The sequence below is a fragment of the Homo sapiens genome, chromosome 6 (genome assembly GCF_000001405.40).
Source record: "Homo sapiens chromosome 6, GRCh38.p14 Primary Assembly".
Classification (NCBI taxonomy): Eukaryota; Metazoa; Chordata; class Mammalia; order Primates; family Hominidae; genus Homo; species Homo sapiens.
Window position 1 is genome coordinate 35,637,351 of NC_000006.12, and position 13,772 is coordinate 35,651,122.

The 13,772-nt window shown below is 39.4% G+C and overlaps 1 protein-coding gene across 4 annotated transcripts in view; it reads right to left on the reverse strand.

Moving 5' to 3' along the window:
* The window catches only part of FKBP5 (FKBP prolyl isomerase 5), a 154,994-nt gene that overhangs the window by 63,761 nt on the left and 77,461 nt on the right, over positions 1–13,772 (reverse strand). For all 4 annotated transcript variants that reach the window (NM_001145775.3, NM_004117.4, NM_001145776.2 and 1 more), the window contains one exon: positions 5,370–5,493. In NM_001145775.3, the coding sequence (NP_001139247.1) occupies positions 5,370–5,474 (105 nt within the window). In that variant the 5' untranslated portion in view covers positions 5,475–5,493. The remainder of the gene's footprint in view (positions 1–5,369; positions 5,494–13,772) is intronic.

Below are 13,772 nucleotides of genomic sequence, written 5' to 3' on the forward strand. Positions count from 1 at the left end.
TTATGTTATATCTACTTTTATTGCTAATCGCACTATTTATTCCTTCAAAGAATTAACCAATAAATCCTGTTCATTGGTTTAATGCCCTATATTTTGACAGTAAACTCTTTTTTTTTTTTTTTTTTTTTTTTGAGACGGAGTCTTGCCCTGTCGCCCAGGCTGGAGTGCAATGGCACGATCTCGGCTCACTGCAACCTCTGCCTCCCAGGTTGAAGCAATTCTCCTGCCTCAGCCTCCCGAGTAGCTGGGATTACAGGCGTGCGCCTCCGTGCTCAGCTAATTTTTGTATTTTTAGTAGAGATGGGGTTTCACCATGTTGGCCAGGCTGGTCTCGAACTCCTGACCTCGTGATCCACCCGCCTCAGCCTCCCAAAGTGCTGGGATTACAAGCATGAGCCACCGCGCCCGACACTAAACTCTCTAACACAGGCTTGTGAGCTAGTCCATATACACACGGACTTAGACCAGAAAGAATGGTGGACTTTTAAAATATTCAAAAAGAAGCTTAAGCAAAGCTTCAAAGGTGTAATTTTATTTCCCTCCTTTGCTAAAAACATTAGCTCCTGACTAGATTCTGCTTGTTTATTTTCAGAAAGCCCAATTTCCTGGTAAAACAGGTTACATTTCCTATTATTTGAAACATAGTCTATCTGTAAAAAACATGAGTATCATTGCACTGCTTGATATGATACTGAATAACTTGTTTTCTAGTAAAGTATTTAACTACTGTAAAATCCAGTGTATTTATTTTGTTCTTGGCAGAGCAAGCTGCTAATGTATTTGGTCAGTTCTGGGAAAAGAAAATCAAACCCAGGTGTGTGATGGTGTAATTTGTTAATTTGTAATCTATGCCAAATTAATCATTTTTGGTAGATAACAGAGGATGGTAGCTAACATCTGATGAACATCTTTTTGGGGAAGGAGTTTGCTTTGAGTTTTATTTAAATAATTCGATTATTTGCTCCTAAATTCTTTTTTTACAAGTATACCGTCCACCTAACATAAATATCACATAAACACTGTGAACTTAAATTCCACAGCTTTCTTAACTCAAAAGCCCAAACATCTTTATTTTATTTTTTGAGACAGGGTCTTGCTCTTTTACCCAGGCTAGAGTGCATGCGGTGGTACAATCATAGCTCACTGTAGCCTCTATCACTCAGCTCAAGTGATCATCCCACCTCAGCCTCCCGAGTAGCAGAGACTACAGGCACATGCCACCACGCCTGGCAAATTTTTTTATTTTTAGTAGAGATGAGATCTTGCTACATTGCCCAGGCTGGTTTGGAACTCCTGAGTTCCAATGATTCTCCCGCCTCAGCCTCCTAAAGTGCTGAGATTACTGGTATAAGCTATCGCACCCAGCCCCAAATATTCTTTAAAGGCAAAGAAACACTACTGCCCTTCTAGGACTTCAAAAGAAAAAAAAAGTCTCAAAACATTAATCTAAAAGATATTACACAATATTCTACAAGTGCTCATGTTCACGAACTGCATGTGGTATTTGGGAGGCTATGCTCAACTGTAAGCCTCACGTGGAAGGAATCTGCATTTCTAGGACTATAAACAGTAACTGGGCATGTGGGATGAATGGCTACCAGAGAGTCAGAGAGCCATCCACACCAGCAAGTGGTACTATGGTATCACTTCAGGCTTCCCTAGCAAGATGAATTTGTACCTAAATCTAGAGTTGCCTTAAGAACACAATCTAGGTTCTATTCATTTTTAAAATATAAATCCATCTTTTATCTTCCTCAGATAGTTACTGAATTTCCAAACCAGCACTGGTTCTTTTTTTAAAAATACGTAATAGTTAATAAGATAGATTACTATAGGACAGGCACTATGCTAAGTGCTTCACCTAATCCTAATAACTCTATGAGGTTGATGGCATTATTATTCTAATTTTACAAACAGGAACTTAATCACAGAGAGGTTAACTAAATTGCCCTAGCTTGCACAGTTACTAGACCTATTTAAATCTTAACCAAAAGCCTCATGGTGAAATCCGAGGCTCTAGACAATGATAAATGATATAATTTAAAGGGCTTCAAATCTCAAATGTTTCTTAATAAGCCTAAAAATCTTGCAATTAGATTTACTCCCTAGAACAGAACAGGGTCTGAGGCAAGTTGGGGATCATGTTCTCTGGGCATGGGCACTCTGAAAAGATGAAAGGGTAAGTCGTAAACAGAGGCAGGGAGATGCTGAGGACAGCCTGCAAAGTCTCCACTGTTTCTAGAAGCTTCCTGGAATTTAGGATGAGTAACTATAGCTACAAGGTTGAGAAGCCTTCTAAAAAAAGACAATAGGATGTAAATCTATAGCATAAAGCCCTTATTCTATAGCTGCAAGTCCCCAAAATTTGACTTAGCACATAATAGCAATTCACATATATTCAGAAGAGATCCAGGCACAGAAGGCTTTCACATAAGCAAAGTTATACAAAACAAAAATTCTTACTTGCTACTGCTGGCACAAGAGATATTAAAACTCAGCATCCTGGTAATATTCAGAATGCATCAGATAATCTTTTCAGGAAAAACAAAACTTAACTATACAAAACTTACATGTGTTAACAATGGTGTAGGAGAAATAACTATTTAATGTGACTAAAGCCACTTAACCTTTCTCAGATTCAGTTTATTCACTTATAAGATGGAAGAATCAAGAGATGCTCTGATTGTCTCACCACATTGTTGTAAGAAACAAAACAAAAGAAATGCACGTGAAAATGATTAACTATAGAGTGAAGAAACACACACAGTCATGCATCGCTTAAGGACAGGGATATGTTCTGAGAAATGTGTTCTTAGATGATTTCATCCTTATGTGAACATCGCAGAGTGTACTTACACAAACCTAGATGGCCTGGCCTACTTGTACACACCCACGTTAGGTGGTTTGGCCTACTGCTCCAAGGCTACAAACCTGTACATTGTGTTACTGCACTGAATACTGCAGGCAATTGTAAAACAGTGGTATTTGTGTATCTAAGCATATCTCAACATAGAAAAAGGTACAGTAATAAAAGGTATACAAGAAAAAAAATGGTACACCTATACAGAACACTTACCATGAATGGAACTTGCAGGACTGGAAGTTGTTCTGGATGAGTCAGCGAGTGAGCAGTGAGTGAACATGAAGGCCTAGGATATTACCATACACTACCGTAGACTTTATAAACACTGGACACCTAGACTACATTTATTTTAAAATTTTTCTTCTTTCTTTAATAATAAATCAATCTTAGCTTACTATAACATTTTTACTGTGTAAACTTTTTTTTTAGCTTTGACTCTTGTAATGACACTTAGAACACAAACACTGTACAGCTGTACAAAAATATTTTCTTTCTTTATATCCTTATTCTATAAGCATTTTTCTGTTTTTTAAATTTTTTATTCTTTTACTTTTTAAACTTTTTTTTGTTTAAAACTAAGACACAAACACATACATAAACCTAGGCCTACAGAGGGTCAGGATCATCAGTATCACTGTCTTCCACCAACACATCTTGTCCCACTGGAAGGTCTTCAGGACAGTAACATGCATGGAGCTGCTGTCTCCTATAATAACAATGCCTTCTTCTTGAATACCTCCTGAGGGACCTGCCCAAGGCTGTTTTTTGTTTGTTCATTTGTTTTTGAGACAGGATCTCACTCTCACCCAGGCTAGAATGCAGTGGTATGATCATAGTTCACTGCAGCTTGGAACTCCCAGGCTTACATGATCCTCCTGCCTCAGTCTCCTGAGTAGTAGAAACTACAGGTACATGCCACTATGCCTGGCTAATTTTTTTAATTTTTTTTCTACAGATAGGGGTCTTACTATGTTGCCCAGGCTGGTCTTGAACTCCTGGCCTCAAGTGATCCTCTTGCTTTGGCCTCCCAGGGTGCTGGGATTACAGGCATGAGCCACTGCACTCAGCCAAGGGTGTTTTACAGTTAACTTTTTAAAAAATAAGAAGCACACTCTAAAATAATGATAGAAAGTATAGTAAACACATAAACCAGTAATATAAACATTTATTATCAAGTATTATGTACTATACATAACTGTGACTGCAGTGCAGTAGGTTTGTTTACACCCACATCACCACAAACACATAATACACTGTACTACCCATGCTACAACAGCTATGGCACCACTAGGCCATAGGAACTTTTCGGCCCCATTATAATCTTATGGGACCACTGCTGAAGGTGCAGTCTGTCACTGACTGAAATGTCATTATATGGTGAATGACTGTATAGTGCTTTAATAAGTAGGAAAGCTAATTCAAAAGTAAGATATATTCTAAGAGGAAATCGCAAAAGATATCTTCACTGTACACAGGAACAATATTTATATATAAAAATAAACCCCTTTGGGCCGGGCACGGTGGCTCATGCCTGTAATCCCAACACTTTGCGAGGCCAAGGCAGGCGGATCACCTGAGGTCAGGAGTTCAAGACCAGCCTGGCCAACATGGTGAAACCCTGTCTCTACAAAAATTAGCGAGGCATGGTAGCAGGCGCCTGTAATCCCAGCTACTCGGGAGGCTGAGGCAGAATTGCTTGAATCCAGGAGGCGGAGGTTGCAGTGAGCTGAGATCATACCACTGCACTCTAGCCCAGGCAACAGAGGGAGACTCTGTCTCAAAATAAAATAAAATAAAATAAAATAAAATAAAATAAAATAAAATAAAACCCCTTTGAATTTTTCAAGTTAGCTTTTCTTTCCTTAAAAAGTCTTCAAAATTGTCATTAGCTAGCTTTAGTGTACTAAAAGGATACATTAAAATAGTAACCTATTTGTATACTCTGAGAATAGGGAAATATAGCCCTTTAGAGTGAGATATAACTTGGACCTGAACCCCAGGTAAATCTGCATTACTAAGATATATGATATTAGGCAAGTTAATTTACCTAGCCCAGTCTCAATTTCAACATCTATAATCTGGGATTAAAAATTAAAATCTCTAGCTGGGCACAGTGGCTCGTGCCTATAATCCCAGCTACTCAGAAGGCTGAGGTGGGAGGATTGCTTGAGGCCAGGATTTCAAGACTTGCCTGAGCAACATAATGAGATGCCCTCTCTCAAAAATTTAATTAATTAATTTAAAAAGAAAATCCCAGCTACTCAGGAAGCTGAGATGGGAAGATCACTTGAACCCAGGAGCTCAAGACCAGCCTGGGCAACATAACGAGACTCAACTCTTAAAAAAAACCTTGAAGTTATGAAGACAAAATGAGAATCTAGCTCTAGTGTTTGGCACTTAGTAACCATCAATAAACATTATCCACCCCAGCCCCCCTCAGAAAGAGATGCTATAATCTTTCCAGACAGCAGGTTTCCTTGTATGTCACTCAGCTTTGTGGCCTCACCTTTAATACTCCCCTGTCTTTTTTGGAGGTAATATCCTCTCCCTGCTCAGCAACAGTGGCTGTGGGGCTTTCTTCATTGTTCTTGGCACCTTCATCAGTAGTCATTGTCTTTTAAGTAGAGAACCTGGTAAGAAGAAAAATATTTTAGCTGGGAAAAATATCACTTCTTTATGAATCTTGAATGTCCCTGGGAACTGAGCTCTACCTAACCTAAGATTTACTTAGGGCCAATAAGCTTAGATACTGAAAATGAAAACAAAGGCATTTGCTATGAGCATGTATTGATGTCATCAGGCATGTAAATAAAACATCATCCAATTCTTTAATTTCCCATCTAGCTCTGGTCTCAAAACAGAGAACAGTACAAGTCAAGTTGGGTAGTGATTACATTCCTTAACATAACATGGTGAGAAGCAGTCCCTTCACAACTTTGAAAACATCCTTTTTCTACAGCCATATTCTTGACAGAGGATTAAGACCTTATCAGTTCTTAATAAAAGAAGTGACAATATATCAATCACAGTGAGACACAGAACAGGATTTAGAATCCAACAGACCCAAGTCTGGGTCCTAGCTGCAGCTCTTGACATTTCCAGTTTCCTTAATCTTGCTGAGCCTTCATTTTTCATCTGCAAAATGGACACAGTACACTATTCATAGTTACAGTGAGATAACATTTCTTAAAAGATTAGCATAGATTGGTAACTTAAACATATTTAACCATTTATCATCATTATTGGGCCTTCTGTAGGGTCATTTTTCATCTCCTGCCCAAAATACCTACAGAATGTTCTTCCATGTGGCATTCAAGGCCCTTCACAATCTGGCCCTAATCTATCTTTGAGTTCTAGCTGCCATTATTTTATTTTACTTTCTTTCATGCAGCTCATGCTCCAGCCAAACTAGGCCAATTCCACCTCTACAACAAACCCAGTGCTTTCCCATAGTCATTCTTCTGGTCACTCCCTTTCTTGTTTCCAAAACATCCACCTCTCTCAAATCCTACTTCTGTCATACCAACCTTGACCCTCTATTTGTAGGCCATTTTGCCCTTTTACGTACTTCCTTAGCTCTTCTCTCGATTTGTTGTCTGTAAGAGATTCATAAGACTATGCGCCTGTTAGGTTTAAAAGATCCTTCAGAGCAAGGTCCATGCTTTGTTCATATTTAGATTCCCTAGAATGCCTCTACCTTTGAGAATGGTAAGACAAAAAGTGCAAGGAATTTGTAATGGAATTTGGGGGTGTTCTTCCTCTGCTCCTTACAAGCTGTTTGATGTTGGCTACCTTAACTTCTCTAAGATTTTTTCCTTACCTATGTGATTAGAATAAAAATATCTGTTTTCACAGATAATCTTCTGAAGTGGTATAATGTGTATTTTTAAGGTATACTATTCAAATGTTAGCTCTTATTGTTATTGGTAGTCACCTGACAGACATTTTTTCATGCAAGGCAAGCCAATGTAACCAACAGGCTAATCATAGGCTAAGCAAAACACACCTAACCACTGCCATGATGAATTCCACACTGCTCCCTGTTTGGGCAGGGAAAATCAAGAAGGAATCACTCCTACAGCTATTACACATTAGGCTAATAACAAACTTAATGCCCCCTAAACTCATCTCCTGAGCCTTCTTGTCTACAGAGTCAAAGAGTCTTTCTGCACTTGCAGAAAATGTCTTATTGATACAACTATAATTAGACAACTAAAACATATACTGTAGTGTTTTAACTCATTTCCAAATGACCACTATTCAGTTCAACAGAGACACAAATCCAATTGTTGTGCCCCAAAATCTTCAAATGAGAACACCAAAAACCAGGGGCTAAGTCTCTCTGCTCTAGTTTCTAGTACGCTTTATACCAAACATGAAAGATCCAAATGTTTGGCTCAGGATAAGCGAAAGGCCAGAACAATCGTTCTCAAACAAACAACAAAAATTATGTACCTAGCTCTACATGAGGTGAGCTAGATAATCAGGAAAATCAGAAGAACGGGATTGGTTCCCAGCTTCTAGAAACCCACTGCTTATAATATGCTTCTGTGATGCACAGAAACTTGTAAAAGGCACCTTGATAACAGAGGGAAAAGATCTCTTAAATATTTGGAGGGTCCTGGACTGTATGCCTGGGAAAATATATGCACACAAAAAAATTTCCTGGGGATTCACAGAGATGCTGACATCCATCAATAGATCTCTGGGTGTAAAGCACTGAACAAATGAAAACCACCAGGTGAGAGGTTATTGGGAAAGTACCCCACAGATTACTTATTATTAAAAAAGGAAAAAGACCTTTCAAGTAAAACAATCTGACTGATAACACTTTAACAAATGATCTGCATCATAACCAAACTCTGCATCACCAATAATGAAAAAAAGTGCTATTACTCTGTCTCCTAATATGATGTAGTGATGTGATTTAGATGTGCTATCACCTATGTGCTATCCCTATCAAAAATGTTTAACCTGAAACTAACCAGGAAGAAAAGACAAAAACAGATTGTGGAGCACTCTACAAGACCATTGGCCTACACTCCTGAAAAAATGTTAACAACATAAAGAACCAAAAAGGTGGCGTGCACCTGTAGTCCCAACTACTCAGGTGGCTGAGATGGAAGGACTATTGATTGAGCTCAGGAGTTTGAGACTGCAGTGAACTGTGATCATGCCACTGTACTCCAGCCTGGGCCGAAGGGTGAGACCCCATCTCTTAAAAGATAAAAAAAGAGAGAGAAAGAGAGAGAGGGAGAGACGGGAGGTCTGTTCCAGATTAAAGGAGACTATAGAGATATGACAACCAAGTGTAATCAGTGATCCTTGGCTGGATCCTGGATTAGGGGACAAAATATAAGAACTTGGAACAGGAGACTGCATATTAGCTTATTACTACTATATGTCAGCCTTTTGGAATGTGATATAGTATTATGGTTTTATGCAGAGTAATATCCTTGTTCATAGGAGACACATGCTGTAGTATTTAGGGGTGAGGTGTCATGATATCTGCCACTTGCTTTCAAATCATCCAAAGACAATGCTTTCTTTTGAATGTTCATCATTTGGAGTTCAGCTAAATTTTTAAATGAAAATACTGTCAATGAAGAAATGTTTTCAGGCTGGGAACAGTGGCTTACGCCTGTAATCTCAACACTTTGGGAGGCTGAGGCGGGTGGGATCACTTGAGGCCAGGAGTTTGAGACCAGCCTGGCCAACATGATGAAACCCCGTCTCTACTAAAAATACAAAAATTAGCCAGGCGTGGTGGCACACGCCTGTAATCCCAGCTACTCGGGTGGCTGAGGCACAAGAATCACTTGAACCTGGGAGGCAGAAGTTGCAGTGAGCCGAGGTCATGCCACTGCACTCTAGCCTGGGTGACAGAGCAAGACTCTTTCTCAAAAAAAAGAGAGAGGAAAAAAAGAAACATTTTCTTTTGGTTCTCACCTTGCTATTTTGAAAACAATGGCTTGTTTAAATTCGAGTAAATAGGCAACCTGTATAAGCTGATTTACTAGCTTTCTAAATCCCATTTGATAAAGGAATTAGCTCTTCATGTTTTGGCTCCAACACTTCAAGGGATGCAAGTCATCTTAGTAATCTCAGAGGATGGCTCTTGTCAGTAGTACTGAGTCCATATGAAGAGAAGTACTATGAATAATTAAAACACAAAGATAAAAACAACAAGAAAACAAACTTTTGAACTTTCAAAAGCAGATAAAGCTGGAAGAATAAAGACATAAACTGAATTTTCCAAGTATTTCCCCTTAATTCCAGTTAAGCCATTAGGAGTATAGGTTTTTGTAAGCTAACAAAACAAATAAAACTTTTTCCTTGATTGAATGTTATATAAAAAAGACAGTAAGGACAGACAATTCCTAAAAACTGTAATGACACACTGAGACAGTTTCACCATTTTTATAAGAGAGACTTTTCTTCTTTCCCTCACCCTAGATTTATTCTGGATTTAAAATCACTATGTAGCTATGGATATTAATCTATGATAAAGCTTACTGTGCTGAACTGTCCAAAGGCGGAAAATTGCTACCCAATGCATCAGAAAGGGAACACAGTTCGTTCTGTTATGGACATGGCAGATAAGCATACACTCTCCAAAGTGCTAGTCAGCAAACACCTGAGACATAACAGAAAAATGAGAATACACTTAATATTTTATCAACAGTGTACTAAAAATTTCAGTTAACATAACTAAACTATCAGGTCCCCCAAATGAGAAGTCATTTTAAAGCCATATCTACCAATTCCCTATGTATATTATGTAAATTACTGTATTGTTCTCTTTGTTAAAATATCAGTGTCTTGCCTCAGATTATGCTACTAACAGGAGAGTTTTCAGAAAGATATTTCTTTGGTAAACTTATTTTTCTTCTCGGAACAAATAATTACTGAAGAAAACAAAGCTAAGAGACCACACTTCCCCTGACTCTGAGTGCTGAGTTGGATAAATTACTGTTTTCAAGTAAGCAGAAAGCAAAGGATTATATTAAAACAAACAAAAAAACCCCAGAAAATATTAGACTATCCAAATGTTACCATTATATACTAAAGGATGAACCTGAATACAGGATTATTCCCCTTAATATGATTTTACCCTATTTGGCCTCAAAAAGGTTGAACGACAGGACTAAGTCATCAACTTCCTCTCCCCAGGAAGATGCTGGGATGACAAGAAAAAGTTTTTAAAATCTGCAAAACTCTGAGGTGGAAAACAAGACATGTTCCTAACTGAACCAGAACTTTGGGGGAATTTCTGAACACTACACAGCAGATGAGGTCAGACCGAAGGAGAGAGCAAAGAAGAGAAAGTTGCCTCCCAAACACCAACTGTTAAGAGCAGCTCTTCCCAGGGAGCCTGGAGAAGCTCTAGGTCTGGGGTCAGCCCCAGAAAGCAGGAGTGAGCTAGGGGAATGCACTGGAGAGCAGCATCTGGGGGAAAAAGCAGAAACTGTGTTTGGATCAGTTAGGCCAGGTAGGTTTCTTTCCTTCCAGAGTGCACACTGTGGCTCCCATCTTTTCTTCTCTGGAAGACATAATAATCCTTATTTTTGGAGTTCAGACCCATCGAAAGGATATGTCAAGGTACTTGTCTTCTTTCCTTAATTCCTGCAGGGGCCTTGATATTCTGGCCCTTAACTGCTGAAGACAAGTCTTTGCAGAATCTCCAGAAAAATTTTCTAGCATTATTTCTTTTCCTTTGATGTCTCTGTCCTCTACTTCTAGAAGTATTATTAGATAGACTTCGGACATTTTGGTATTATTCTTCAGGTTTCTTAAGTATTTTTCTAAACCTGGGCTAAACAACAGAATCACCTGAGGAGCTTAAAAAAGCTACTGATGTCTGGACTCCAGCCCAGAGAGTCTGGATTTAATTGGTCTGTGGTGGGGCCAGGGTAATGGTGTTTTCAAAAACCATGTTAGATGATCCTAATGTGCAGTCAGACATGGTTGAGAACCACTGGACATTTCTCCCATTTTTCATCTTTGTCTCTGGCTTTATACCCTAAGAGAAATTCTTTGATGGAATTTTTATTTATTTCTTATTGTCTCTTAAGAGACAGGGTCTTGCTCTGTTGCCCAGGCTGGAGTGCAGTGGTACCGTCATAGCTCACTGCAGCCTTGAATTCCTGGGCTCAAGCAATCCTCCCCTTCAGCCACCCTAGTAGTTCAAACTATAGACATGTGCCACCACACCTAATGTTTTTTTTTTATTATTTTTTTCAGAAGAGACAGGGTCTCACTATGTTGCCCAGGCTGGTCTTGAAGTGATCCTGGGCTCAAGTGATCCTCCCACTTCGTCCTCTCAAAGTGCTAGGATTATTAAGAGTGAGCCACCACACCTGGCCTGATGGAATTTTTACAACACCATTTGGTCATCAGCTATATTCAATATATCATTTAGTGTGCTCAAGAGATTTTTAAAAGAATTTAGTGGCCAGGTGAGGTGGCTCAAGCCTGTAATCCTAGCAATTTGGGAGGCCAGAGCAGCCAGATGACTTGAGGTCAGGAGTTTGAGACAAGCCTGGCTAATATGGAAAAACCCCATCTCTACTGAAAATACAAAAACTGGCTGGGCATGGTGGCGGGCACCTGTAATTCCAGCTATTCAGGTGGCTGAGACAGGAGAATCGCTTGAACCCTGGAGACGGAGGTTGCAGTGAGCGGAGATTGTGCCATTGCACTCCAGCCTGGAGGATAAGAGTGAAACTCCATCTCAAAAAATAAAAATAAAAAAAGGCCAGGCGGGATGGCTCACATCTGTAATCCCAGCACTTTGGGAGGCCAAGGCAGACGGATCACAAAGTCAGGAGATCGAGACCATCCTGGCTAATATGGTGAAACCCTGTCTCTACTAAAAATACAAAATATTAGCCGGGCGTGGTGGCGAGCGCCTGTAGTTCCAGCTACTTGGGAGGCTGAGGCAGAAGAATGGCGTGAACCCGGGAGGCAGAGCTTGCAGTGAGCCAAGATCGCACCACTGCACTCCAGCCTGGGCGACAGAGCAAGACTCTGTCTAAAAAAAAAAAAAAAAAAAAGAATTTAGTAATAATGTTTTTTATTTTACATATTCTTATCGGATTGCTCATTTTCTTAGCACTAAGTCTTTATTTTGTAGATGCAATTACCTCTGAAATCTTTCTGAAGATACTACTGAGAATAAAATGGAGCATTTCTTATGAGTAAGTATTTGGCTAAAAGGTTTTTTTTTTTTAAAGAAAAAAAATGCCTCGACCTTCTGGGAGGTGGCATTTTGTGTAACCTCTAGCATCTCCCAAGAACACTAAGCAGTGGGGATTCTCTGAAGTTTGAGAAGGTAAGAACTGAAAATAAGAGAAAGGTAGCTTATTGTAAACATGAAAGTTAAAAGTAGAAGAGAGATGTAGAGAGAGGCAAAAGTCACAGGTGAGAAGTTTGATACTTATACTAGGGTTATAAAGGCGAAACATGAAATGCTTTGAGTGAAAGGGGAGTAGAGAGCAAAGGCTTGAGAAAAGAACCAGACAGGCTTAAATGCATATAGGGAAAAGAATCAAGGGAAGATGAAAAAGTCATGATGCAAGAATAGCATGGATCAGTTCATCAACTAAACACAGATCACTTAGTTCCAGCTAAATTTTAACCGTATGGCTAAATAAAAGTATTTCAAAGTTTTTCCTTAAAAGGATGGTCATGGGAATGTTAGACTAAAATTTGGCAAATGCATACTATAAAAATATACAGTTTTTGAAAAGCATGAGATAAATCTATACAGTAGAGAATCATTTAGCTAAGAGTCTAAACAAAAACATCCAAACAACTAAATTGGGAAACTATTTTGTAAATGTTCATCCATTATAAAAGAATGCCAGGCGCAGTGGCTCACACCTGTAATCCCAGTACTTTGGGATGTCAAGGCTTGAGCCCAGGAGTTTGAGACCAGCTTGGGCAACACAGTGAGACCCGATCTCTGCTAAAAATAAAAAATACACGCCTGTGGTCCCAGCTACTGGAGAGGCTGAGGCAGGAGTATCACGCCATGGTTGCACCACTGCACTGCAGCCTGGGCAACAGAGCAAGATATTGTCCAAAAAAAAAAAAAAAAAGGAAAAAAGAATAGCATTGTAGTAAATGAAGTGTATTGTTAATGGTGCATAGTGCCCAGTGATGATTTGGTTATCTGGACCATTGAAAAAAAAAAAAGTCAGTTGATGATGCCACAATGGGCTAATACATGTAACACAAACAGTGTAATTTATTTTTTATTTTTTTAAATTTTTTGAGACAGACTCTTGCTCTGTTGCCCAGGCTGGAGTGCAGTGGCCTGATCTTGGCTCACTGCAATCTCCGCCTCCTAGGTTCAAATGATACTCCTGCCTCAGCCTCCTGAGTAGCTGGGATTACAGGTGTGCGCCACCAATGCCCGGCTAATTTTTGTATTTTTAGTAGAGATGGGGTTTCGCCATGTTAGCCATGCTGGTCTCGAACTCCTTCAGCTCAAGTGACCCGCCCGCCTCAGCCTCCCAAAGTGCTGGGATCACAGACATGAGCCACCGCACCTGGCACAAACAGTGTAATTTATACCAATATATTTGCAGCCACCAACCATGGTTCCCAGTTGTTTGTAGATTTTGGTGGGTGGGTGGGTATGATCATTTTAGAGCACTGGATTACAATTATGCAAATATTGTTCATTACATGCCAAAATGTCTTTTTCACTGTTTTCCCTTTAAGACAGCTAATCTCTGAAAATATCACTAATATGGAGCAGGTGACGTCTTACCCATTCCACATAAACAATCTTCTAATACTCACATGAAAAGACAGATGGATTTTCAAGATGTACTATTAAGTGAATGGTGAGTTGCAGAATGATTTGTAACATGATCCTATTTCCAAGAGGAAAAAAGTA